Here is a 26,787-nt window from a genome sequence, read left to right on the forward strand (position 1 = left end):
CTGAAAAAATGAGCATAAAGCTGGACAAAATTGTCAAAACTAACCATTTTGTGGTGCTGGATATCCATTAAAGAAACAAACTGAGAGGCAGTTACTCCAGAGGAATGGCAGGAACTTGGAGGAAGAACACTGGGAGTCTTTAGCTTTCTAGCCACAGGCTATTAGTCCTCCCCACCTCCCCAAACAAGTCTGACCAGGGCAGGCCTGGCAGTGAAACCCAGCAGTTTTGCTGCCAGAGGGAAATGACTTGATTTAAAACAAAAGGCAAAAACCCAGTAAAAGTAGCAAATACAGCAGAAAACAAATGAGAACACCTACATGCTTGCTAGCATGAGGCTGCTTTTTCTATTAGAGTGTCTAGCTTTCTACCGCTGCTATAACAAATGACCACAAACTCGGTGGCTTAAAACAACAGAAAGAAATGTGTTACCTCACAGTTCTGTATTTGAGAAGTCCAGAATAGGTCTTGTTGGGAAAAATCAAGGTGTTGCAAGGGCTCTAGGGGAGAATTCATTTCCTTGCTTTTCCCGTTGCTAGAGACTGTCCACCTTCCTTGGCTCACAGCCCCCTTTCCTGCAGTTTCTAAGGCAGAAACACCGTATCTCTCTGACGAATCTCTCATAAGCACATTTCCCTCTTATTACACTTCTTTCTTTTTCTTTTTTTCCTTTTTTTTTTTTTTTTTGAGATAGAATCTCGCTGTGTTGTCCAGGCTGGAATACAGTGGCACAATCTTGGCTCACTGCAACCTCTGCCTGCTGGGTTCAAGTGATTCTCCTGCCTCAGCCTCCCGAGTAGCTGGGATTACAGGAGTATGCCACCACATCCAGCTATTTCTTTTCTTTTCCCTTCCTTCCTTCCTTTCTATCTTTCTTTCTTTCTTATAGGGTCTCCCTGTGTCACCCAGGCTAGAGTGCAGTGGTGAAATCATGGCTCACTTCAGCCTCGACCTCCCCGGCTCAAGTGATCCTCCAACCTCAGCCTCCCGAGCAGTTGGGACTACAGATGCACACCACCACACCAGGCAATTTTTTTTTTTTAGAGATGGGATTCTCCCTATGTTGCCCAGGCTGGTCTCAAACTCCCGTGCTCAAGTGATCCTTCCACCTTGGCCTCCCAAAGTGCTGAGATTACAGGCGTGAGCCACTGTGTCCAGCCTCTCTTACACTTCTAAGGACACCTGTGATTACAATGGGCCCACCGAGATAATCCAAAATAATTTTCCTACCTTAAGGTTAGCTGATGAGCAATCTCAACTCCATCTGCAACTTTAACTTCCCCTTGCTGTGTAATCTAACATATTTACAAGTTTTGGGGGATTAGGATGTGGATGTCTTTGGAGGGCCATGATTCTGCCTACCACACAGGCAAATGGCAAAACAGCCTAAAACTTAATGAGACAACCCTGAAAACAAAAGAACTGGAGTAGGAGTAGGTGAGCTTCCCAGGTACCCCAGGCTGCTGGGAAACTCCACACATTTGCAGGAGAAAGGAGAGGGGGCCTTGCAAAAGTCAGAGCAGAGGAAGAAGCGAGAAATGCCTGGACTCTGAAAGCACTCTCCAGCCTACACATAGATCCAGGGCAGAGCACAGAAGCCTAAGGGGATTGAGTAATGGAGCCCACTGCTGCTCAAATACAGGCTCACCACTAGGCTACACAGATGCAGGCATGAATCCTAAAATACTATGCTGAAAGCCAGGCACAGTTGTGCATGCCTACAGTCCCAGCTACTCAAGAGGCTGAGGTAGGAAGATCACTTGAGCTCAGGAGTTCAAGTCCAGCCTAGGCAATATAGTGAGACTTGTCTCTAAAACAAACAAACAATTTTTTTTTAATTTTTTTTTTTTAACTCAGCAGATATATTAGCTGGCCAGACTCAGTCCAGATTCCACAGATTAAAGCCAGGCTGGTTAATACATTTAAGAAAAGGACTGCAAGATCTCTATGTTGAAAACTTCAGGCCAGGAATGGTGGCTCATGCCTGTAATCCCGACACTCTGAGAGACCGAGGTGGGTGGCCTAGGAGTTGGAGACCAGCCTGGGCAACATGGAGAAACCCCGTCTCTACTAAAAATACAAGAAATTAGCCAGGTATGGTGGCACACACCTGTAGTTCCAGCTTCTCAGGAGGCTGAGAGGGGAAGATCACCTGAGCCTGGGAGGCGGAGGCTGCAGTGAGCTGAGACTGTGCCACTGCCCTGCAGCCTGGGTGAAAGAGCGAGACCCTGTCTCAAAAAACAACAACAAAAAAAAAAAAAAAAAAAAAAATCCAGAAACATTTAAATTATGGTCAACTGATTTCCAGCAAAGGTATCTAGGCAATACAATGCAAAAAGATAGTCTTTTCAATAAAACTTGAACAGATAACAAAAGATGGTGTATCCATACAGTGGAATATTCAGCCATAAAAAAGACCAAACTACTGATACATGCTACAGCATGGATGAACCTCAACGACATTATGCTAAATTAAAGAAGCCAGACACAAAAGTTTGTATGATACTGTTTACAAGAAATGTTTAGGCCGAGTGCGGTGGCTCACGCTTGTAATCCTAGCATTTTGGGAGGCTGAGGTGGGTGGATCCTCTAAGGTCAGGAGTTCGAGACCAGCCTGGCCAACATGGTGAAACCCCATCTCTACTAAAAATCCAAAATTATCTGGGCATGGTGGCGGGTGCCTGTAATCCCAGCTACTTGGGAGGCTAAGGCAGGAGAATTGCTTGAACCCGGGAGACAGAAGTTGCAGTGAATCAATATCACACCACTGCACTCCAACCTGGGCGACAGAGCAAGACTCGGTCTCAAAAAAAAAAAAAAAGTTTAGGAAAGGCAAATATCTAATATCTAGAGAAAGGAAACAATTCAGTGGTACCCTGGGGCATGGGAAAGGGGAAGGGGATGAATATAAACAGGCATGAGGAAACTTCTGGGGTGACAGAAATGTTCTAAAACTGGATTTTGGTGATGTTGCACAATTTTGTAAATGTATAAAAATCACTAAAATGCACACTTACAATATGTGATCAAATTATGCTTTTCCTCTGCTCTCCTACTACAGCAAGTAACACTAAAGACTTCTGTGACCAAATATGGGTGGGGGCAGTTCTCCCCACCACCAAGCAAGCAATTAGTTCTGCAGCAAATACCAGCTATGTGTCCTTCAATTCAATTCCAACACTATCTACCCAGAGATAGCATTAATCCCACAGGTGAGGGCTCAGTCCCAGCACTTCTCCCCACCCCTCAGACACCAGCTGCAGGTCCAGACCTCCAGAGCTTCTGACTGATGGTCTTTAAATTAGGGTTCCCATGACTCCCTGTTTGGGTTCCATTAATTTGCTAGAGCAGCCCACAAAACTCAGGAAAACATGTTTACTGCTTTATTACAAAGGATACAGATGAAGAGATACATAGGGCAAGGCATGGAGGAAGGGCACAGAGCACCCATGCCCTCCCTGGGTGTGATCATTCAAGAACCTCCACGTGTTCAGCTACCCAGGAGCTCCTAGAACCCTGTCCTTTCAGGTTTTTATGGAGGTTCCATTAAATAGGCATGATTGATGAAACCACTGGCCATTAGCGAGCCATTTCCCCTTCAGCCCCTCTACCCTCCCTGGAGGTTGCAAAGTTCGGCTGAAAGTCCCAACCCCCTAGTCCTGCCTTGGTCTTTCTGGTGACCAGCCCCCATCCTGAAGCCACCTAGGGGTTGCCAGCCATCTTTTTGTACATCTTTAGTGTACAAGGTCAAAGACCAAATATATATTTCACAATATCACAGGTGAAGTTTATGCAATGTAAGTTATACCTCAATGAAGCTATTTTTTTTTTAAAAAAAAGAATAATCAGGAGTTCCCCATTGCTGGAGTACACAAGCAGAAACGGAATGATCTCCTCACAGGGATGCTACAGAGTGGGGGTCTCCATGACCTTAGTACTGGACCTCACTGTCAGACTCAAAGATCCTGTGGCCTTTTGACCCAAAGTGCTGGTGTATACATTTTTTTGTGTGGCTTTCTTCGGTTGCTGGTCAGATGGTTATAACAGAGAAAACAATGGTAACTACTCCTCCAAATACCTCACTTACAAACATTGAACATAGAATGATTTTCACCTTTCGTCCTGTAAAGGCAGCTCGATGAAGCGGCGTGTCTCCCATGTCATTCAACACATTCACTTCTGCACCAGCCTAGTAAACATGACCACTTTAAATACCAAGAAATATACAATGGTGAAAATCATTCCTTCAAAATATATTAAGGCCTTAAAAAATTAAAATTGTTAATATTGTTTAGGTGTCAGTACTAACAATAAATTAAATTTAAAGTAACAATAAAAAGCCAGCACGGTGGTTTGAGCCCATAGTCCCAGCTACTTGGGAGGCTGAGGCAGGAGAATCATCTGAGCCCAGGAGTTCAAGGCCAGTCTGGCACTATAGCGAGACTCCATCTTATATATATATATATATATGTACACATATAGTAGTGTATATATGGTAGGTTTTCTGAAAGGTAAAAATCTACCTGATAGGTAGAAAAATAAAAAGTAAAAAGGTACTTTTCACTAAAAATCTATACACCTTGGCCAGGCGCAGTGGCTCACACCTGTAATCCTAGCACTTTGGGAGGCTGACGTGGGCGGATTGCTTGTGCTCAGGAGTTTGAGACCAGCCTGGGCAACATGGTGAAAGTCCGTCTCTACAAAAAATAGAAAAACATTAGCCAGGTGTGGAGGCACGTGCCTATAGCTCCAGTATTTGGGGGACTGAGGCAGGAGGATCACTTGAACCTGGGAGGTCAAGGCTGCAGTGAGCCGAGATTACGCCACTGCACTCCAGCCTGGGTGACAAAGTGAGGCCTTGTCTTGATTAAAAAAAAAAAAAAAAAAATCCATACACCTTCACTCTACTTTAGAAGCAGTCATATTGAAAAAAGGAGAATGATCTCTGAATGAAATACCACATTTCCTCCTTTATCAATTTAATAAGTTTTGAGGAAAAAAGATGCCATTATTTAAATGTACAGATGAATTGTAAGATGCAAGCAAATTTCAGAACTATCAGAATGTGAGAAGTTATTCATCATAGAATTAAGAAATATGAGCTCTCAATTCTCTTTAAATACAGTGCTAAGAGATTGTGACATTGTTTTTTCTTTTTAATTTTTATTTGTGTATTGACATTATTTTTTAATTATTTAGGGTGTGCTTTGGTTATTTTTTCAACTGTCACACTCAGAACTGAAAATAAAATCTTCATTAATATGCCTACTTTTATTATTTTTAAAAGCTAGTAATAAAAAAATCTAATGATTAAACATACAATTTTAATTAATCAGGCTAACCTAATTCATGTATTTATTTAATAAAGAACAATTAAGTGTCTTGAATGATGAACTATTGCTTTAAATAAGTCATTATGGCTCAGGTGGCTTTTCTAAGACTTTCATCTTAAAATTTCCATAACAATAATATTTACTGTAGTCATTAAAAATTAAAGTCATAAATAGACCTTCAACAGATCCTGGACCACTTGTCTGTGTCCAAAATAGCATGCCAGATGTAGAGGTGTCCAGCCCAAGTTAGACTTACTTCTTCCTAAAAATGGAAAAATATAAGGTATTTTTAGGTCATATTTAGGTAATTTTACAACGAAATTAACTTCTCCATAACAAGCTACCTCAATAATCTCCTTTGCAATGCATTGCTGATAAGTGAGAGGCAAGATATGTGACCAAGAAGTGTAATGGGTGTAAAGGACGAGAACTCACAAGGTGCAGATCTGGTGCCACCTTCTGACTCGATGTCTTCACCTCTAAAGGGATAGAGGGAGACAGGACGGGGGTTACATTCGAGCTAGATGATCTCTAGCAGCTTCTTGACTCTAGGGCTCCGAGTCTTTAATCATCTTGCCATCATCAGGTCAAGAGGGGTTTTATTGACATAGTTCACGACAAGCAACTCTCTTTGAAAACCTGTATCAGGAGGGTATGGAGGAGCTGAAGGCAGCTCACAGCAACTCTCTGTACACCTGTACCACATCAAGAGTCAGTAAAGGATAGTTCCTGCAGCACCTGTGATGTGGTTTGGATTTGTCCCCACCCATATCTCATGTTGAATTGGAGCAGGGGCCTGGTGGGAGGTGATTGGATCATAGGGGCGGATTTCCCTCTTGCTATTCTCGTGACAGTGAGTGAGTTCTCAGGAACTCTCTGAAAGTGTGTGGTTGTTTCCTGAGGCCTCCCTGTCAAGCTTCCTGGTAAGCCTGAGTAACTGTGAGTCAATTAAGTCTCTTTTCTTCATAAATTACTCAGTCTCAGGTAGTTCTTTATAGCAGTGTGAAAATGGACTAATACGATTTGGAAAGCTGTGAACTCTACAGATAGTGCCTGAAAGTGGAGTCTTTGACTTCAGATAAAGTCTCAGTTAATGAGGATATTGGGTTGCCAAGGTGAAAGAGAGGACCGAAGTTAAAGACAATGAAGTGTCAGATCTTAGGAGTAGAGCTGAGGAAAGACATAAACAACTGAGTGTTGCAAAAACTAAAATCACAGATTCAATTTAGCAAAAAAGATATTCAGAGCACTATTTAGAGCTGAGGAAGCCCAAAAGCTTCCCAAAATTCCCAATCAGACTGTAGCAAATACAGCCCTATCAAATCCCAAAGTCACCTGCCTTGATGGGGCTGTTACAGCCCAAGAACATGTTATTCCAGGGGCCACTGCAGGGAAAGAGCGATGGTTTCACAGCTACTGTAGATAGCAGTACCTCACTTACATGATACACTGCCCTCAGCTCCTGGATTCCAGGATCTGAACCCACAGAAACCTCAGCCAACAACCTCAGCACACCCACAACAGGCCTCTAACAACCCTCCAAGGGACTGCAGCTGCCAGCAGTGTCCCTGGGATTGTTTGCCATTTACCCAAACTCCTACATCTGTTTCCTCTCAAGTGTGTGTCCTGTGGAACCCCTAATTACACAGTCAATAAATCCCAGAGCCTCAGTCTCTTTCACTGAACCTATCTTTTGCTTTCTGTTCTTAGTGAAACCTAGCTCATCCTGATAAGGATCTCCCCCTTATTCTTCAGGTGGGGTCCCCCATCCCCCCTGTCCCTCACTGAACAGAAGTCGTGTGAACCTCCACATCAAAACTCCCACTGCTGGCCGAGCATGGTGGCTCATGCCTGTAATGCCAGCATTTTAGGAGGCCAAGGATGGCGGACTGCTTGAGCCCAGGAGTTCAAGACCAGACTGGGCAACATAGAGAAACCCCATCTCTACAGAGAATTAAAAAATTAGCCAGGCCTGGTGGTGCACACCTGCAGTCTCAGCTACTCCAGAGGCTAAGGCGGAGGATCACCAGAGCCCAAGAGGTCAAGGCTTCAATGATCTGTGACTGCACCGCTGCATTCCAGCCTGGACAACAAAGCGAGACACTGTCTCAAAACAACAACAAAAAACCCACTACTGCCTTTAGTTGATGACTTCTCCACTCACATCACAGCTCCTCCTTTGAGGCTTCTGTCATTAAGCCAAAGCTCTTGTGCATGCCTTCTCTGCTGCCATCTGCCAGCCTCCCAGTGGCCTGCCCCTCACCAAATAACTTTGGGCAGCATATTCTTTCACCCCGTTGCAAATCCTGCCACCATCCTCAGGGGGTCAACTGCCTATTCAGCACCCTGGTCTCTCACTTTCTCAGCTTCCCTCATTTCTCACAAACTGTGCCTCTGTTTAAGGTCAGGGACCCACTGCCAGAGCCACAGCCTGGGCGCCATCATCACCCCTGGACTCAGAACACAGAAAGCCACTTTCCCAAGCACTCCCAACTTCCCAGCCTGTCCACACAGCTATCCCCCAGACTTTCTTTTCAACTTATCCAGCCCCCAGCTCTAATCATTTTCTTTTTTCAAGAAAGGGTATCCCTCTATCACCCAGGCTATAGTGCAGTGGCACAATCACATCTCACTGCAGCCTTTACCTCCTGGGCTCAAGCAACTCTCCCACCTCAGCCTCCCGAGTAGCCGGGACCACAGGCATGCGCCACCACACCTGGCTAATATTTGGATTCTTTTGTAGGGATGGGGTTTTGCCATGTTGCCCAGGCTGGTCTCAAACTCCTGAGCTCAAGTGATCCTCTAACCTCAGCCTCCCAAAGTGGTGGGATTACAGGGGTGAGCCACTGCACCAGGCCTAATGACTTTCATGTATATGTAAATACCCTCCATCTTCACTTCCTTCAATAAATTCAGTGTCTATTCTTTAATCCCTCACTTCAACGTTTATCATATCCTGAAAATTCTGGCTTCACTATAATATCTGTCACAGCAGCCTAAAAAACCTCCAAAGCCTGAGAAGTACAACGAGCCCAGTTTCTCCATAACCACACCCAGGTCGCTAACCAACGGTGAAGAAAAACAACAGAGCCCTGTGGATTTACACACCATAAACTCAGGATCTCACACTAGCTGAAGGCACTTCTATAAGGCCCTGTCCAAGCATCTCTCATATATTCCAACAAAAAGTAATTCAGTCCTTCACTAGTCTCCTCAAGCCTTTTACCGAGACAACTCTACCTTAGCAAATGACATATTCAGCTTCACAGAGAAAACAGCTTTCATAGAATTCCCTGGGCTTCCAGCACCAAATCAACCATCCCACCTATATCTACAGGCACTCTGCTAAACTTTCCTCCCGAGGTCTAAGACTAACCGTTCTCTCTGGATCCTGGAGCCCATCCCTTCCTGCTTCTCAGGCCCTCCTTTTTTGCCTGTCTTCAACCTCTCCCCCTTTAGTTGCTGATGGGAAGGAGTAAGAACTCTGGTGTCTCCCATCTAAAGAGGAAACATAAATGAAACCCTCCCTACTCTGTGCTCCCTGGCAGCTACTGCACCCCTCACCCTCCCCATTCTACTCTTCACTGGCTCTTTCTACCTAACATTCCTTCCTGTCAACCCCCACCCATTGCAGATGAGGCTCATCTCCCACCAGGTCATGAACACTATCTTCAATTTTTATCAAGAAATGCTGTCACTGGGTCCCAGGGGCAGGTTTCTGCCATCACTGCATCACAGGACAGCATGGCCACATTCTTCCCTAGCTGCCACAGCCCTGTACCCTGTGGGTCCTCTCATTTCTCTGGCACTACTTTTCCATATCCTTTGGAAAATTTATTTTCCCCGACTATTCCATTACTGGTAACTTCAAAAATGGTACTTCAGCCGGGCATGGTGGCTCACACCTGTAATCCCAGCACTTTGGGAGGCCAAGGCGGATAGACTGATTGAGGTCAGGAGTTCAAGATGAGCCTGGGCAAGTAGTGAAACCCTATTTCTACAAAAAATACAAAAATCAGCCAGGCGTGGTGGCGCACACCTGTAATCCCAGCTACTCCAGAGGCTGAGGTGGGAGGATCACTTGAGCCTGGGAGTTCAAGGCTGCAGTAAGCCATGATCACACCACTGCACTACAGCCGGAGTGACAGAGCAAGACGCTGTCGCAAAAAAAAAAAAAAGAAAGAAAAAGAAAAAAAGAGGTATTTCATGGCCCTCTTCCACTGCTTCCATTGTTTCTGTGCTGTTGACTTCAAAATCCATATTTCCATCTCCAAAGTGTCCACTAGACATCTCCATTGGGCTGGGCAAGGGTTCCTCAATGCTCAGAAAGCACAAAGCTGAACTCACCTGTCGTCCTCCGTACACACACTCGCAGGAACCACCAGGCCCCTCCCACATGTGTATTCACAATGGGTGGCCCCTCATTCCCCTCCTCACTCAACAGCAGCAGCACCTTCCTGCTTTCTCCTTTTCACCCCACACTCAATTAGCTCGACTGACTCCAACTCCTAAATATTCATTACATCTAGTTTTCTCCATTGCCACTGCGTCTGCCCCCATCCAAACCACACTGTCTCCTCTCACTTCCTCTGACAGCTTGTGACCTGGTGTCCTCACATCTAGTATTTCCAAATAGGATTCTGGATCAAGAAATCAAAATTTCCAAGATCCAGTCAGGCACTGCAGCTCACACCTGTAATCCCAGCACCTTGGGAGGCCAAAGTGGGCAGATCACTTGAGGTCAGGAGTTGGAGACCAGCCTGGCCAACATGGTGAAACCCTGTCTCTACTAAAAATACAAAAATTAGCCTGGTGTGATGGTGGGCGCCTGTAGTCCCAGCTACTTGGGAGGCTGAGGCACAAGAATCGCTTGAACCCAAGAGGAGGTGGAGGTTGCAGTGAGCCAAGATTGCACCCTGCACTCCAGCCTGGGCAACAGAGCAAGACTATGTCTCAAAAAAAGAAAAAAATTTCCAAGATCCTACATTTACTCTTAAAATACTTCAAACAGTATTTTAAGTTTAACTACTTATAGGTATCTTTAACTACTTATCTAAAAGGATGTGTTCAATGAATAAGAAATGTCAAGCTTTGGAGTATTTACAAAGAACAGTACACTATACATAATATTAAAACACTAAAATACCAGCAGGTATTACTGGGGAATATTCGAATAACTTCACATTTGGACCTCCTAGTAAAGTGACAGCACTACACAGAATTGTGTGTTGAGACTGCCAATATAAGTACTTAGGTTGCTTCCAAAATTTATTATTTCTTGGAACATCACTCATAGAATTTACAAAAAGTATGTTATGCATATACGTATTAATATTTATTTTATTTGCAAGAATGACTCACACAAGCAAGACAGGACCATGAACACATACTTGTAACACAACACCAGCTACAAGCAAAACTAATTCTATCCTCCTCTCCCAGACCCTAAAAACACTAACCTTCACTTTCCACTCACATCAGCCCTTCTTTCCCTCACTTTCAACTTGACATCAGTGAATTCCTTCCAAACAGTAACATCTCTATGTTGACTGTTAACCTTTAATTCTTGCAGGAGAATTATAGTAATTTATACCATTTTCCCAATTTGTCATTATTTGGAAAAACAGGAAAGAAAGGAAAGAAAACCAAGAAATGCCGGGAAGGAACCCCCCACATGGAAACACTATTCACGCCTGGTCTTGCCCACCCCTCCCCACTCCCTTAAGAACTGCATATCATCTGACTATGTCACCTTCTGCATCAACCCTTCAAACTGCCCTTAAGATAAAGTCTGACTGACAGGTATAATGAGGTGAAAATTGAAAAAAATATTAACATATTTCTCAGCTTTACATTTCCAAGTAGATGACTTTCTCCTAATTAGCCTGAGGCAAACATGGGTGGAGGTGGGAAGGGGAGACAGAAAAGGGTCACTGAGGATGATCAAATGTTTTGGCATTCAAAATAGAATCCTGAGGTAAAGATAAAGAGCCAGTCTTTGCTGAAGAATGGGGGGAAATTTTATACATTTTTTTATTTTTTAAATATTTTTTCCTCAGATCATTCTCCATAACAAAGATATTTTAAAATTCCTTTTACCACCTCAGTTTCTAGACAACCCAGATCCTCAGATCACAGTTTCTTCCCTATTGCAAAGATGCTATTTCTTCCCCACTGAGGGTGAGGTCATGAGGTTTGCTGCCCTGGTACAGGAGGAGGAAGTAGCAAAAAGAATAAAATATCCACCTGAAGCCAGCCCTTTCTGGGACTGAGGAACTGTGGAAGAAAAAAAGACAAAAGCTGAGACACGTGGCTCTGGATCTTAAACTCGGAAAGTGGGATACATTGAGGAGACATAGAGAACAGGCAAGCTGCTTCCGGGATGCAGGAAAAGACCCCCCCTAGATCGCCCATCTTAGCACTCCCCTGCCAGATGCCACATCAAAGCAGACTCAGTAAGGTGTCCTGAGGGAAGGCTGCATTTTGGCTAACCAGAGCTGCTCTAGGTTCCCCCATGTCATTGGCTCCCACATGCCACTCTCCCAAGAAGGGAACAGGAGTGTGTCTGCATTGAACCAGCAAGCCTAGGCCAGGTGCCAGATGAAGATGTGACAGAGGGTAACACAAGCCAACATGAGAGTCTCCTGATACAGCCAAGGAGCCTTACCTATGCCACACGACACACTGAGAGACCTGAGTTTGACTTTCTACCTGAGTTTCACGTCAGCTTCCAATGCTTAAGGAGCACCAGGAAGACAAGGGTGGCTGAGGACCCAAAGCCAAGTCATAGATTCGAGGAAAACCTGCCTCTCCACCACACGAACACACAGCAAGTCTCACCTCTACACTCAAACACCAAGCTAGAGGAAACACAGGGGAAGGGAGATCAAGACTTTATCAAAAAGGCTACTAAAAAAAGTATGGCTAGATGCAATGGATCACACCTGTAATCCCAACACTTTGGGAGGCTGAGATGAGAGGATCGCTTGAGACCAGGAGTTCAAGACCAGCCTGGGGAACACAGCAAGATCCCGTTTCTACAAGAAATACAAAAATTAGCCAGGCGTGGTGGCATGTGCTTGTAGTCCCAACTACTCTGGAGGCTGAGGTGGGACAAAGGCTTGAGCCCAGAAGTCTGAGGCTGCCATGAACTGTGAGCATGCCACTGCACTCCAGCCTGGGCAACAGAACAAAACCCTGTCTCAAAAAAAAAAAAAAAAAAAAAAAAAAAAGACAGAAGTACCCAAAGACTAACGTTTACTCTCCCCATACCTCCCAGAACATGAAGAGGTTTATTACAATACCAGAGCCATTTTGAGAACACGTTTTATTTCTCTGCACATTTGATGCAAGGTTGTGATGTATTGGCCACTTTGCTACACATGGCATATTATGACTTGGCTGCTATGTTGTTTCTTCTTCCTTGAACCATTTTTTCTTCTCTATCGTCACCTGGTTAACTCCTACTCTTTCACATTTCATCTTAGAATCGTCTCCTCCAAGAAGCAAATCCTTCAAGTTCCAGTTTCACACCTCTCCCATGACACCTGCACTTCCAGATCCTGGTACCTATTTTGTAATGCAGACTAGTCTGATCTGTTAATCTACTAGACTAAGCTCAATAAGGGCAGGGATCCCATGTGTCTCTTCATCATTATCTCCAAGACACACAGTAAACACTCAGACCTGCTGGGTCAACTGCAATGTCTTCAAGAAGAAAAAAAAATTATCATAGTGTATCTGGAATTGGTGGGTTCTTGGTCTCACTGACTTCAAGAATGAAGCCGCGGACCCTCGCGGTGAGTGTTACAGCTCTTAAGGCGGCGCGTCTGGAGTTGTTTGTTCCTCCCGGTGGGCTCGTGGTCTCCCTGGCTTCAGGAGTGAAGCTGCAGACCTTCGCAGTGAGTGTTACAGCTCATAAAAGCAGTGTGGACCCAAAGAGTGAGCAGTAGCAAGATTTATTGCGAAGAGCAAAAGAACAAAGCTTCCACAGTGTGGAAGGGGACTCCAGCGAGTTGCCACTGCTGGCTCCGGCAGCCTGCTGTTATTCTCTTGTCTGGCCCCACCCACATCCTGCTGACTGGTAGAGCCGAGTGGTCTGTTTTGACAGGGTGCTGATTGGTACCTTTACAATCCCTGAGTTAGACACAAAGGTTCTCCACATCCTCACCAGGTTAGCTAGATACAGAGTGTGGACACAAAGGTTCTCCAAGGCCCCACCAGAGTAGCTAGATACAGAGTATTGATTGGTGCATTCACAAACCCTGAACTAGACGCAGGGTGCTGATTGGTGTGTTTATAAACCTTGAGCTAGATACAGAGTGCCGATTGGTGTATTTACAATCCCTGGGCTAGACATAAAGGTTCTCCACCTCCCCACCAGACTCAGGAGCCCAGCTGGCTTCACCCAGTGGATCCCGCACTGGGGCTGCAGGTGGAGCTGCCTGCCAGTCCTGCACCATGCGCCCGCACTCCTCAGCCCTTGGGTGGTGGATGGGACTGGGCGCTGTGGAGCAGGGGGCAGTGCTCATCGAGGAGGCTTGGGCCGCACAGGAGCCCATGGAGGGGGTGGGAGGCTGAAGCATGGCCGACTGCAGGTCCTGAGCCCTGCCCCGCAGGAAGGCAGCTAAGGCCCGGTGAGAGATCCAGCGCAGCGCCGGTGGGCTGGCACTGCTGGGGGACCCAGTACACCCTCCGCAGCCGCTGGCCCGGGTGCTAAGCTCCTCATTGCCAGGGGCCGACAGGGCCGGCCGGCTGCTCCCAGTGCGGGGCCCACCAAGCCCACGCCCACGCCCACACGGAACTCCAGCCGGCCCGCAAACGCCGCGCGCAGCCCTGGTTCCCGCTAGCGCCTCTCCTTCCACACCTCCCTGCAAGCCGAGGGAGCCGGCTCCAGCCTTGGCCAGCACAGAAAGGGGCTCCCACAGTGCAGCGATGGGCTGAAGGGCTCCTCAAGTGCCGCCAAAGTGGGAGCCCAGGCAGAGGAGGCCCGAAAGCGAGCGAGGTCTGTGAGGACTGCCAGCACGCTGTCACCTCTCAATAGGATGTATCCTGTGGGCTAGAGCCACCCTTGTGGCTTGTAATATTTGGGATCCATAACAATTTTAAGAATTTAAAATTCTTATGTCACTTTCTCTGACTCAGAGGGGGCTAGGAGAGACATTTCCTCCAATCTGTGGGGTTCTTCCTAGCATGAGAGATAGAGATTAATTACATGATAGATAAGAAAGGTTAGCATTAAATAAATGCTAAGAGTAGTGCAGACTCATAAGAGAAAGCTACAAAATCCATTCAAAGTTTACCTTTGCAATTAATGTCAGCAATCACTTCATTCCTCGCCATGGTCTCTAATAGTTGTCTTACTTCTTCAGCATTGCCATTTCTGGCGTGATGGAGAAGCTGTTGCTCCGCTTCTGTGTTCATTTCTAAATTAAGAAAATAATAACATTGCTATTATTTAAGAACATAATTAGCTTTTAGATATCACCTGCTAATACAGAAAGGGGAAAGAATCCTCATTTTGCAGCTGATAAGACAGACACAACAACTGAATAAATCCGTTGCAGGGTGAGAACTTGAGCCTGAGACCCCTTGCCCTTCCTATTATTATTGAAGCAGTACAGGAGACACTTGGGCAAGTCTCTTAACTTCTTAAGGCCTTAGTTTCCTCATCTGCAGAATACAACCAACCGCATAAGCTGTTTGTTGTAAGATTATGTATGTGAAAGCATTCTGTCAAATACATAGTATTATGCAAATAGTTATTACATTAAAAATTAGACATAAAAGGAAAAAACAAAATTAGAGATAAAGTCAAAGTATGACTTTATTTCCTATATGACCATTCATATAGGAATAGTGTAAGACTAACATGTAAACTAACACATTCAAAACTGTGCAAAGAATCATTCTGAATAGAAACTCATTATAGATAAATGCCCTGAAGTGGCTATATGTAAACAAATTTATTTTTTCTGTCACATTTTCTTATCAAGCCCCAAACCAAATATAGAAAATTACAACCAAATTTCAAGCATTTATGTCAAAATGAGCAAATATTACAAATAGCAATTCCCAGAAGTATGTCATTCTTACTAATAATCAAATAAATAAAAATCATTCAAACACAAGTGATATTTTTCATGCCCATTGAATTAGCAAAAATAAAAAAAGACAAGAAACAATGCTGGCATGGGCAGGAAATAGCACTCCTGTAGACTGCTAAAATGAATATAAATGCATACAACCTTTCATACATTACAGGTGGAGATCAGCAATTTGGCAATATCAAATAAACTTCAAAATTCATATATACCATTTACTTTGTCTAGGCAACTCTATTTCTAGAAATCTATCCTGCAAAAACATTTACACAAGATTTTTATTTCAATGTTTATTTTTCCCCTCACTTTTGCTGTCATCTTATACAAGATTATTTTGAAACCATGCTTATAAAGATTACATTATTTGTAATAGTGGAAAAGTTAGAAACCACTCCATGTCATCAACAGGGGACTGGTTAAATACATCTTCCAGTGAGGCTAAAAGAGATGGGCTGTATAGGCTGGTGACTGGATGGGTTTTGAAGGCATGGTTTCAAAACAGAGCAGAGCAAACAGCTTGTCTCCAGCCCTCTTGCCCTAATCGGCATTTCTTATGCAGGCAAGCCAGGCTTTACCCTCTATGAGACTTAGCTGGTTATATTCCCTAAAGTACAAGAGAGACACCAGGAGGTCCCAGCAAGTGGTCAAGCCAGGCAAACCTTACAATGAAGTTAGCAGTCAACAGGGCCCACCCACTCTCTCAGTTTTCAATCAACTTTCTAGCTCCCCACTCTTAAACATGAAAGACAAAGACCAAAACCAAACAGGGAAGAAAAGCAACCTAGAGAAAACAAGGTATCAAAGAAAATGTTAAAAAATAATAACTAATATCCTTAGATAATAAATGACATTCTGTCCTGTAACAAAAACAAGATGCTATTAAAAAAAAATAAAGCTTGAGAAAAAGAACTTTGGAAATAAAAATAGCAAAAATTAAAACTTCAATAAAAGAGTTGGAAAATAAGTTGAGAATATCTCCTAGAAAATAAAATGTTAAGAAAATGGGAGATAAAAGATGAATGTTGGCCAGGCACAGTGGCTCATGCCTGTAATTCCAGCACTTTGAGAGGCCGAGGCGGGTGGACCACTTGAGCCCAGGAGTTCAAGACCAGCCTGGACAACATGGTGAAACCCCAACTCTACTAAAAACACAAAAATTAGTTGGGTCTGCTGGTGCACACCTGTAACCCCATCTACTCAGGAGGCTGAGGCAGGAGAATCACTTGAACCTGGGAGGTGGAGGTTGCAGTAAGCTGAGATCATGCCACTGCACTCCAGCCTGGGTGACAGAGTGAGACTTGGTCTCAAAAAAAAAAAAAAGAATGTTAAGAGAATTGGTCCAGGAGGTCAAACATTGAAACGAAGTTCTAAAAAAAGAAAACAGAGAGACAGAGAAAATAAAGAATTTATTTGGCAGGCCGAGGTGGTAGGATCACTTGAGGCCAGGAGTTTGAGACCAGCCTAATACGGTGAAACCTCATCTCTACTAAAAATAAAAAAAAAAAATTTAGCCAGGTGTGGTAGGGGAGGCCTGTAGTCCCAGCTATATCGGGAGGCTGAGGCAGGAGAATCGCTTGAACCTGGGAGGCAGAGGTTGCAGTGAGCTGAGATCACGCCACTGCACTCCAGCCTGGGAAACAGAGCAAGACACCGTCTTAAAAAAAAGAATTTAAGGAAGTCTTACAGCATTGAAAGGCCTAATGAGAGCCCAACAATTCTGGAAGATTTCTGATCTACAGACAAAATAGAACCTATGAAAGCACATCATCATGAAATTTTAGAACTTTGGTAACAAAAGATATCAGGTAATAAACAAAAGAGCAGGAATCAGAATGATTTTGACTTCTCTATCACAACATAAGCATCCAAAAGACAACAAAGCAATACCTAAAAGTTCTGGAGGAAAATTATTTCCAATCCCCAATTCTATAACCAGCCAATCAAAAGTAGGAGTAGAATAAGGACATTTTAAAATATACCAGTATGTAAATTTATTTCCCATGCAACACTTCTCAGGAAGCCACCAGGGGTGTAGCTCACCAAAATTAAAAAACCAAGGAAGAGGAAGACATTAGCAAAGACATTAGAAACAGAAAACTAGCAAAGGAATCCCCAGAGTGAGGGGAAACCCCTGATATCTAGCTGTGGGCCTGGCCTAGCTCTTATCCATATTTGGTTTATCTGGCCCACACGCTAAGGATGTTTTGCTGCATGTCCAGCTGAGGGTCCTAATTCCACCCCTCAGAAGTGTTCTCCTTTCACCCACACCTCAGAAATACCTGTGAGCTCAGAGGCAGAAAGTGAAGAGCAGCCTAATCCCCCAACAAATTCCTGGATCCAGGATCCCACATCTGGTCCCTTCTATAGCCCTACCAAGCCACCAGCCTGGCTAAGGCCTGTTTCCAGTGCTCGCACAAGGCCTCGCTCAGTAGCTTCCCTTTGAAAGAGCTCTTACAGGCTGGGAGCGGTGGCTCACGCCTGTAATCCCAACACTTTGGGAGACTGAGGCGGGTCTATCACCTGAGGTCAGGAGTTCGAGACCAGTCTGATCAACATGGTGAAACCCCGTCTCTACTAAATGCAAAAAAATTAGCCAGGCATGGTGGCACATGCCTGTAATCCCAGCTACTTGGGAGGCCAAGGCAGGAGAATCACTTGAACCCAGGAGGCGGAGGTTGCAGTGAGCTGAGATTGTGCCACTTCACTCCAGCCCGGGCAATAAGAGCAAAATTCCATCTCAAAAAAAAAAAAAAAAGAAAAGAAAAAAGAAAAAGTAAAAAGCTCTTATAAACTCTGCAGGAAGCCAAACCCAGGCTCAGGCTGTTTAAAGAAAAAATTATTCAGTGATACTCGTTAAAGCATGAAAGGAAAGACTTTATTCAGGACCCCCGTGGTAGTTACAAGGACCACTGCAAGAGAGTCCTGCAGTGGGGAAGAGAGCTTGAGCTCAACTCTGAATACAGCAAGGACAAGTGGGATTATAGCCAAGGAGTAGGGTCAGGGTCAGTGGGTGGAAAAGTACTCAGAGGAAACATCAGGGGCAAAGGGGATTCTGGGTAAACCAAACTAACAGGGTTGTTGCTGAAGACAGGCCAGGGTGGTCAGACACCACCTGGGGGATGGTGGAAGATGAGGAACCTGATCAGATATCAAGGGTGGAGGGTTCTTGCTAAAACCGGATTTTACAAGGAAGTGCACAGATGGACCTAACAGAAGGTTCAGAAGTCTGATTAAAGTTTGGCCAAGTAAAGAATCTCTGTCATGACTCAGAATCTTATTTTCAGAGTAAATTTCTGGGGGAACTTCATCTAACAGTGATTGTAATGCCCTTTCTTCAGTTTGCTAATCAGCTTTTATATTAATCCCCTCTGCATTCATTCACCTGTTAAAATATCTAATATTTTTAAAATGTTAGCAATATTTATATTCATTGTAGCATTATTTATAAAGAAAAAAAATCAGGACCAGGCACAGTTGCTCACTCTTGTAATCCCAGCACTTTGGGAGGCCGAGGAGGGCAGATCACTTGAGGTCAGGAGTTCGAGCCCAGCCTGGCCAACATGGCAAAAAAACTCCATCTCTACTAAAAATACAAAAATTAGGCAGGCGTGGTGGTGGGCGCCTGTAAAACCAGCTACTCAGGAGGCTGAGGCAGGAGAATCGCTTGAACCCGGGAGGCAGAGGTTGCAGTGAGTAGAGATCACACCACTGCACTCCAGACTGGGCAACAGAGGGAGACTCCACCTCAAAAAAAGAAAGAAAGAAAGAACAAAAAATTAAAGATCCGTCAATAAAGGTTCATTCACCTAATACTATGAAACCATTAAAAATATTACAGAAGACCCAGCCTGGCAACATGGTGAGACCCTATATCTATAAAAATACAAAAAATCAGCTAGGCATGAGGCTGGGCGCAGTGGCTCATGCCTGTAATCCCAGCACTTTGGGAGGCCAAGGCAAGTGGATCACGAGGTCAGGAGTTCGAGACCATCCTGGCCAACATGGTGAAAACGTCTCTACTAAAAAAAAAAAAAAAAAAAAAATTTAGCCAGGCGTGGTGGCAGGCGCCTGTAGTCCCAGCTACTCAGGAGTCTGAGGCAGGAGAAGGGCGTGAACCCAGGAGGCAGAGCTTGCAGTGAGCTGAGATTGTGCCACCGCACTCTAGCCTGGGCAACAGAGTGAGACTCCGTCTCAAAAAAAAAAAAAAAAAAAAATTTGCTGGGCATAGTGGTGTGAGCCTGTAGTCCCAGCCATTGGAGAGGCTGAGGTAGGAGGATCACTTAAGCCCAGGAGGTCGAGGCTGCAGTTAGCCAAGATCATGCCACTGCACTCCAGCCTGTGTAACAGAGACTCCGTCTCAAAAAAATTTTTTTTAATAAAAATATATTATAGAAGAAGCTGGGGGCAACGGCTCAGCACTTTGGGAGGCCGAGGTGGGTGGATCTCCAGTCCAGGAGATCAAGACCAGCCTGGGCAACATGGTAAAACCCCATCTCTACAAAAATACAAAAATTAAGCCAGGCATGGTGGTGCGCGCCTGTAGTCTCCGCTACCTGAGAGGCTGAGGTGGAAGGATCACCTGAGCTCAGGAAGTTGAGACTGCAGTGAGCTGAGATCACGCCACTGCACTTTAGCCTGGGTGAGAGTGAGACCCTGTTTCAAAAAAAATAGTAAATGAAAGAAAAAGAAAAAAATGTTTAAATAATTTATAAAACTATGAAATTGCAATATATTGTTAGGACAGATGGTACTTATATAGATTAAGCTCTATATATATTTGCTAAATATCGGCAGAGAAACAGAGGGAAAAGATATCAGGATGTCAACAGTGGTTACTCCTGTGGTGAAATTATGAATGGTTTTAAATGTCTTCTTTGGTTATTTGTATTTTCCAAATTTCCTACACTATAAAGGCATTTTATAACTGGAAAATGTTAAGTTATTAAAGATAAAAACAAAAAAGCTTCATGTCTAATTAATAAGGCATTTATCACAGGGGATTTTTAAATATATTTTCAATCATGTACATTAAACAAGGAGTGATGGTCTAGACTTGCTGGCATATTACACAAAAGGTTTAATATTCTTTTCATGCCTTTAAAGAATGAATCAAAAAATGTTTGAAGTATCTTCAAAACATACAAGAAGTTTTTTATAACATTTTCCTTGGATTCTTACTATATTGGGCTTACAGAAAAAAAGATTAAAAAAATTCTCAAGTTCTGTACAATAAATATGAAAAGGATAAAAATAAATCTATTGGGCCGGGTGCCTTGGCTCACGCCTGTAATCCCAGCACTTTGGGAGGTCAACACAGGCGGATCACAAGGTCAAAAGATCAACTTGATCCTGCCCAACATGGTGAAACTCCATCTCTACTAAAAATACAAAAATGAGCTGGACATGGTGACTCACCTGTAGTCCCAGCTACTCGGGAGGCTGAGGCAAGAGAATTGCTTGAACCTAGGAGGCGGAGGTTGCAATGAGCTGAGATCGTGCCACTGCACTCCAGCCTGGTGACAGGGCAAGACTCCGTCTCAAAAAATGAATAAATAAAGAAATCTATTATCTACTTAAACAGTCCATTATAATATATAAACCATAATAGTTACTCATAAATGCTGGGATTGAAACTAAAATTGACTCAACAAATGTTTCTTGAGTATCTACTGATAATAGGGGCTGTTATAGGCACTGGAGGTACCATGATGGATAAGATGGTCCCTGCCCTCCAGAACAGGGCAAACATGCAAACGACAACCACAACAACATGTGTCAAGTACAGCAATGTACACAGAACAGTGGCTGCACAGAGGAGAAGGGGAGTGGCTAGCTCTCTGCCAACATTAGTGATTAGATACAGAGAAAGAAAAATGTAAACTGGTACTTGAATAAGAAGTTCACCAAGATCACAGGGGTGAACAAAATTCCTTGGACACCAGATACATAACAGGGAGATTAACCAATATATGGGATAGAAAATAAACAACATGAGTGAAGATGTGACTCTATTTGGTTGTGGTGAATTTGAGATTCCTGTGGGAAACAGAGATGAAGATGTTCAATAAGAAACTAGCAGACTGGGCGTGGTATCTCACACCTGTAATCCCGGCACTTTGGGAGGCCAAGGTGGGCAGATCAGTTGAGGTCAGGAGTTGGAGGCCAGCCTGGCCAACATGGGGAAACCCTGTCTCTACTAAAAATACAAAAATTAGCCACGGGTGGTGGCACATGCCTGTAGTCCCAGCGACTTGGGAGGCTGAGGCACAAGAATCACTTGAACCCGGGAGGTTACAGTGAGCTGAGATCATGCCACAGCACTCCAGCCTGGGTGACAGAGCGAGATCCTGTCTCAGAAACAAACAAACAAAAGGGCCGGGGGCGGGTGGCTCATGCCTGTCATCCCAGCACTTTGCGAGGCCAAGATGGGCGGATCACCTGAGGTCAGGAGTTCCGGACCAGCGTGGCCAACATGGTGAAACCCCGTCTCTACTAAAAATACAAAAATTAGCCAAGCGTGGTGGTGGGCCCCTGTAATCCCAGCTACTTGAGAGGCTGAGGCAGGAGAATCGCTTGAACCTGGGAGGCAGGCAGAGGTTGCAGTGAGCCGAGAACGCGCCATTGCACCCCAGCCTCGGCGACAAGAGTGAAACTGTCTCGGAAAAAAAAAAAAGAAAAAAGAAAGAAAAAGAAAGTAGTTAATCAATAACAGTTTAAGTACAAGAAAGCAGTTATAGGTTAGAATTTTTTTTTTTTTTTGAGATGGAGTCTTGCTCTGTTGGCCAGGCTGGAGTGCAGTGGCACAATCTCGACTCACTGCAAGCTCCGCCTCCCGGGTTCACGCCATTCTCCTGCCTCAGCCTCCCAAGTAGCTGGGACTACAGGCGCCCGCCACCACACCCGGCTAATTTTTTGTATTTTTAGTAGAGACAGGGTTTCACTGTGTTAGCCAGGATGGTCTCTATCTCCTGACCTCATGATCCGCCCGCCCCGGCCTCCCAAAGTGCTGGGATTACAGGCATGAGCCACCGCACCCGGCCTGTAGGTTAGAATTTAAATACCAGCTACATAGGGGGCTGAGGCAGGAAGACTGCCTGAGCCCAGGAGTTCGAGGCTGCTGTGAGCTATAATTGCACCACTATATTCCAACCTGGGTAACAGAAGGAGATCCTGTCTCTAAAAATAAATAAATAATAAAATAATTTAAATAGTGGGAGTTATCATCATATAAGTGGTCATTAAAATCAATGGAATAAATGAGAACCCTCAATGGGAGAAAAGCAACATTTATTTAAGGCAAAGGAGGCCAGGGAAGAGGAGCTGGCAAAAAACGACCAAGAGTGGAGAGGGGACACAGAAGAGGGTGGCAGCAGCTGAAACCAAGGGAGGAATGTGTTTCAGGGAATGGGATGGGTACGAAAGAAAGGGCAAGAAAGACAAGGCCTGAAAACACCAGCTGCTTTGGCAAATAGAAGAAGGCCACTGACGAGCTCCAAGAGTATCTCCAGTGGAATTCAGACAGGCAAAAACATAGGTTTTGGTAAACAGAGGAGTGAATGGGGGATAAAAAGGAGACTGCACCAGACTCCTTTAAAGCAACTTCCTTCTGAAGAGAAAGTAACAGCTTCACTTTTAGGATATTAGACACCTGGGCATGTTTAAAGATTGTAAGGCAAGAGCCAGGAAGAGAGGCAAACCTTGGTGCTGAGGAGCTGAGGAAGAAGAGAAGCCCAAGAGAAGGATGGCCCTGAAGCCCAAGAAAGCACTGCACCAAGGCTGGCGGGCAGGAAAGACGGCAAGGATCATGATGAGGATGGTTAAGGGGCAGGGAGCCAGGGGGAGAGCTCCTATCTGATGACTGCCAATTTCCAGAATAAGAAAAGGGACAGATTTGTAGGTGCCTGAGGAGGAGAGAGGACTCTTCCTATAAGACAGGATGGTAGGAGAGAAAAAAAATGGGTCACGGGGTCAATACAGTCATAGAGATTGTTTTATTGTTTTTAAGAAAGAGAAAGGAACAGAGCCAGTTAAATTTCACCAAGAAAAGGAAAAATCAACAACTCACGTTGCCTTGTGCCTAAAGCCCACAGATATCAGTTTTAAGACAGGCATTTGACTAAATCATATTCTTAAAGCAATTTGGACATTCTCTCACGTTCAAAGCAATTAATACTACATATTCCAAGCAATCTGACACTACATGTTCAAAGCAATTGACATTACATGCATCAGAACTAGTTTAGTTGTGCAGCCCAACCACACTCTAAAGATTTTCTGACTATGAAACTTTAGACTTAACCAAACAAGCAATACCTAGAGGATAAATTCCAAAATGCTAACAAGCATTTTCACTGCTTTTCCCTTATAATCTTTTATAACTTTAGAAAGGAATGGCAGGGGTGGGGAGGAGACTGGCACCTTCTCTTACCTCCTCTTGGAAATGAGTTAATAAAAATGAAGTACAGGCCGGGCATGGTGGCTCATGTTTGTAATCCCAGCACTTTGGGAGGCCAAGCCAGGTGGATCGCTTGAGCCCAGGAGTTTGAGACCAGCCTGGGCAACCTATCAAGACCCCATCTTTACAAAAATACAAAAATTAGCTGGGCGTGGTGGCATGCGCCTGTAGTCAGTTACTCAGGAAGCCGAGGTGGAAAGATTGCTTAAGCCAGGGAGGTCAAAGCTACAGTGAGCCATGATTACACCATTGCACTCCGGCCTGTGTGACAGAGTGAGACCCTATGTCAAAAACATATATATACTTTTTTGAAATATATTTATTTCAAATAGATATCTATTTGAAATATATTTGAAAAATATATATTTTTGAAATATATATATTTCTGAAATATGTATTTTTGAAATACATATATAGATATTTCCTGCACTGCTGGAGTGCAGTGGCACAATCAGCTCACTGCAGCCTTGACCTCCCAGGCTCAGGTGATCCTCTCAACTCAGTCTCCCGAGTAGCTGAGACTACAGGTGCACACACCACCATGCCCAGCTAATTTTTGTATTTTTTTGTAGAGGCAGGGTTTCCCCATGTTGCCCATGCTGGTCTTGAATCCTGGGCTCAAGCGATCCACCTGCCTTGGTCTCCCAAAGTGCTAGGATTACAGGCATGAGCCACCATGCCCAGCCCAAAAATATTTTTTTATAGCAAAATACTTTCCCGGTGGCTCTAACACCCAGGCACAATAGCACAACTCCAGAAATATCTGTAATTTAAAAATTGAGAAAACCTCCTAAAAATGACAGCAATACTAATTAGATCATTATAATAAAATGATCTTTATATTCCTTTCAGCTACACTACAAAGAAAGAAACTACTAATAAAATGTTTCAAACCAAGGAATAAAGCCATTCATCACAATTTTTTTTAAAGAGATGGGGACTCGCTTTGTTGCCCTGGCTGATCTCAAACTCCTGGGCTTAAGTGATTCTCTATCTTGGCCTCTCAAAGCACTGGGATTACAGGCATGCGCCACTGCACCCAGCCCACAATTTCTTTTCTCATCTAAGAACCATCCACTAAATGTGGACTGAAAGTCCACTGCTGTCTATGTAGACTTGAATATCTAGAATGCCCATGAGTATCTGAAACCTTAACCCTTAGGTGAACATTCAGGTAGTTATCCCACCATCAGGTGTCCAACATGACAGCCACCAGAAGCTGCAGTTTCCCTGTTGCCACCAGGCCTGCATCGCCTTCCCTAATTCTAATACCACACAAGGGGATGAATCGATAGCCAATGACTTGAAGGCTTACCACATTCTAGGCATTGTTCTAAACTCCGATGCCACTAATGAATAAAACCAGGCCTTACACTAGGAGAACTTTTAAATGTTATAAGGAAGACAAGTGTACAAATAAACTACTATCCACATTTCTGGAGAGTGGTCTGACTTGCTCTCTCCATCTCCAATATCACCTAGAGCTCCTTGATAAGTCCTCATGGCAACCTGCCACAATACATGAGTCTACGGGTATCAGTGTGGTCATTTATTTTGCTGTCCCTAGACTGTAAACTCGATGAGAACAAGTGCCTCGTGTCTATTCTGTTCCCCTATTATATCCCTAGCAAGGTGCCTAGAACACAGTAGGCAACCAAATATTAGTTAACCGGATGGATGGATGGGCGGATGGATGAGGACTTAGTCCTTTGAAAACAAAGTAATCCAGTCTCCCTGTAGGGAGGTCTACAGGCAATGCCTTACAAAAGGTACATCTAGTGACATAAAATTAACAGTTTTTTTTTTCTAATAAGCCATGGGAAACACATTTTTAAAAATTTGTACTGCCAGACCCAGTGGCTCACACCTGTCTGTAATCCCAGCATTTTGGGAGGCCAAGGCGGGCGGATCACCTGAGGTCAGGAGTTCGAGAGCAGCTTGGACAACATGGCGAAACTCCGTCTCTACTAAAAGTACAAAAATTAGCCAGGCGTGGTGATGGGCACCTGTAATCCCAGCTACTCAGGAAGCTGAAGCAGGAGAATCGCTTGAACCCAGGAGGTGGAGGCTGCAGTGAGCCAAGATCGCGCCACTGCACTTCAGTCTGGGCGACAAGAGTGAGACTCTGTCTCAAAAAAAAAAAAAAAAAAAAACCAAAAATAACAAAAAAGGGAGAAATTGTTTAAAACACCCCCCCACAGATTGAGGTTGATAACTACTTTCTTAATTTGATGCATCTTTAATTCGTAAACTATTTAATTTCCATTAATTTCTGACTAAAAGGTACATTTAGAAGAAACTTCAAGATTGATTTTTTAAGGAATCATCTAAATTCATATGTTGAACAGATTTTTTAAAAACATTCTTCCAAATCATGAGAGCTTATTCCAGAAAAGCGCTTTGTCTCTGATGTTTAAGCCAAAAGAAGAAGATAAGCATTCCCAAATGCAGCTGGTCACAATGGATTGCAGCCATTTCTATCAGCGCACATGGTATTTTTCAAGACCACTTTTCAGCTGCTCTTCTCACATTCACGCAATTCCAAGCTCTGTTTTTAGATTAATGAGATTTTCATGGCCATGAGAATGTTTTCCAGGAAATAATTAGATGGAAAACATTTTGAGCTTCAAAAATCAGGAGATAAGAGACCATTTTTGCCTTATGTTTTCTCTCCTCCAAGGTCCACTAGGGAAAGTTAGACTTCTAATTTTTAAATTCTTTTGAGGAAAGAAAATTTATATTTTGTTGCCTTATAAATATCATAAAATTACTTAAACTGGTGACCATACTTGATAGTCTATGCCACTGAATCCCCACTTAATATAGTAGATAAGTTCTATGGCCCCAACAGTTCTGAAATATTGACAAAGATTTTAAAACTTAACAACTCCAAGGGCG

The 26,787-nt window shown here is 44.0% G+C and overlaps 1 protein-coding gene and 1 long non-coding RNA gene across 3 annotated transcripts in view, besides 3 other annotated features; one reads left to right on the plus strand and one right to left on the minus strand.

Moving 5' to 3' along the window:
- The window catches only part of OSBPL1A (oxysterol binding protein like 1A), a 235,780-nt gene that overhangs the window by 200,735 nt on the left and 8,258 nt on the right, over positions 1 to 26,787 (minus strand). For both annotated transcript variants that reach the window (XM_017025530.2, NM_080597.4), the window contains exons 2-4: positions 14,634 to 14,756; positions 5,508 to 5,593; positions 4,113 to 4,187 (exon numbers count right to left, since the gene is read on the minus strand). In XM_017025530.2, coding sequence (XP_016881019.1) covers positions 4,113 to 4,187; positions 5,508 to 5,593; positions 14,634 to 14,756 — 284 coding nt within the window. The remainder of the gene's footprint in view (positions 1 to 4,112; positions 4,188 to 5,507; positions 5,594 to 14,633; positions 14,757 to 26,787) is intronic.
- Positions 1 to 26,787, plus strand: part of LOC124904268 (uncharacterized) — a 42,640-nt gene that overhangs the window by 2,704 nt on the left and 13,149 nt on the right. The gene's annotated exons all lie outside the window — the stretch shown is intronic.
- Positions 15,866 to 16,160: a silencer, noted in NCBI's record as "tiled region #8214; K562 Repressive non-DNase unmatched - State 22:ReprW". NCBI's record gives its function as "represses a minimal TATA promoter and a strong SV40 promoter by Sharpr-MPRA in K562 cells {active_cell/tissue: K562}" and the evidence as "EXISTENCE:reporter gene assay evidence [ECO:0000049][PMID:27701403]".
- Positions 21,335 to 21,835: an enhancer, noted in NCBI's record as "H3K4me1 hESC enhancer chr18:21964078-21964578 (GRCh37/hg19 assembly coordinates)". NCBI's record gives its function as "activates a minimal SCP1, AML or CMV promoter by ChIP-STARR-seq in primed H9 embryonic stem cells {active_cell/tissue: H9 hESC(primed)}" and the evidence as "EXISTENCE:reporter gene assay evidence [ECO:0000049][PMID:30033119]".
- Positions 21,836 to 22,336: an enhancer, noted in NCBI's record as "H3K4me1 hESC enhancer chr18:21964579-21965079 (GRCh37/hg19 assembly coordinates)". NCBI's record gives its function as "activates a minimal SCP1, AML or CMV promoter by ChIP-STARR-seq in primed H9 embryonic stem cells {active_cell/tissue: H9 hESC(primed)}" and the evidence as "EXISTENCE:reporter gene assay evidence [ECO:0000049][PMID:30033119]".

The sequence above is a fragment of the Homo sapiens genome, chromosome 18 (genome assembly GCF_000001405.40).
Source record: "Homo sapiens chromosome 18, GRCh38.p14 Primary Assembly".
NCBI classification, from domain to species: Eukaryota; Metazoa; Chordata; class Mammalia; order Primates; family Hominidae; genus Homo; species Homo sapiens.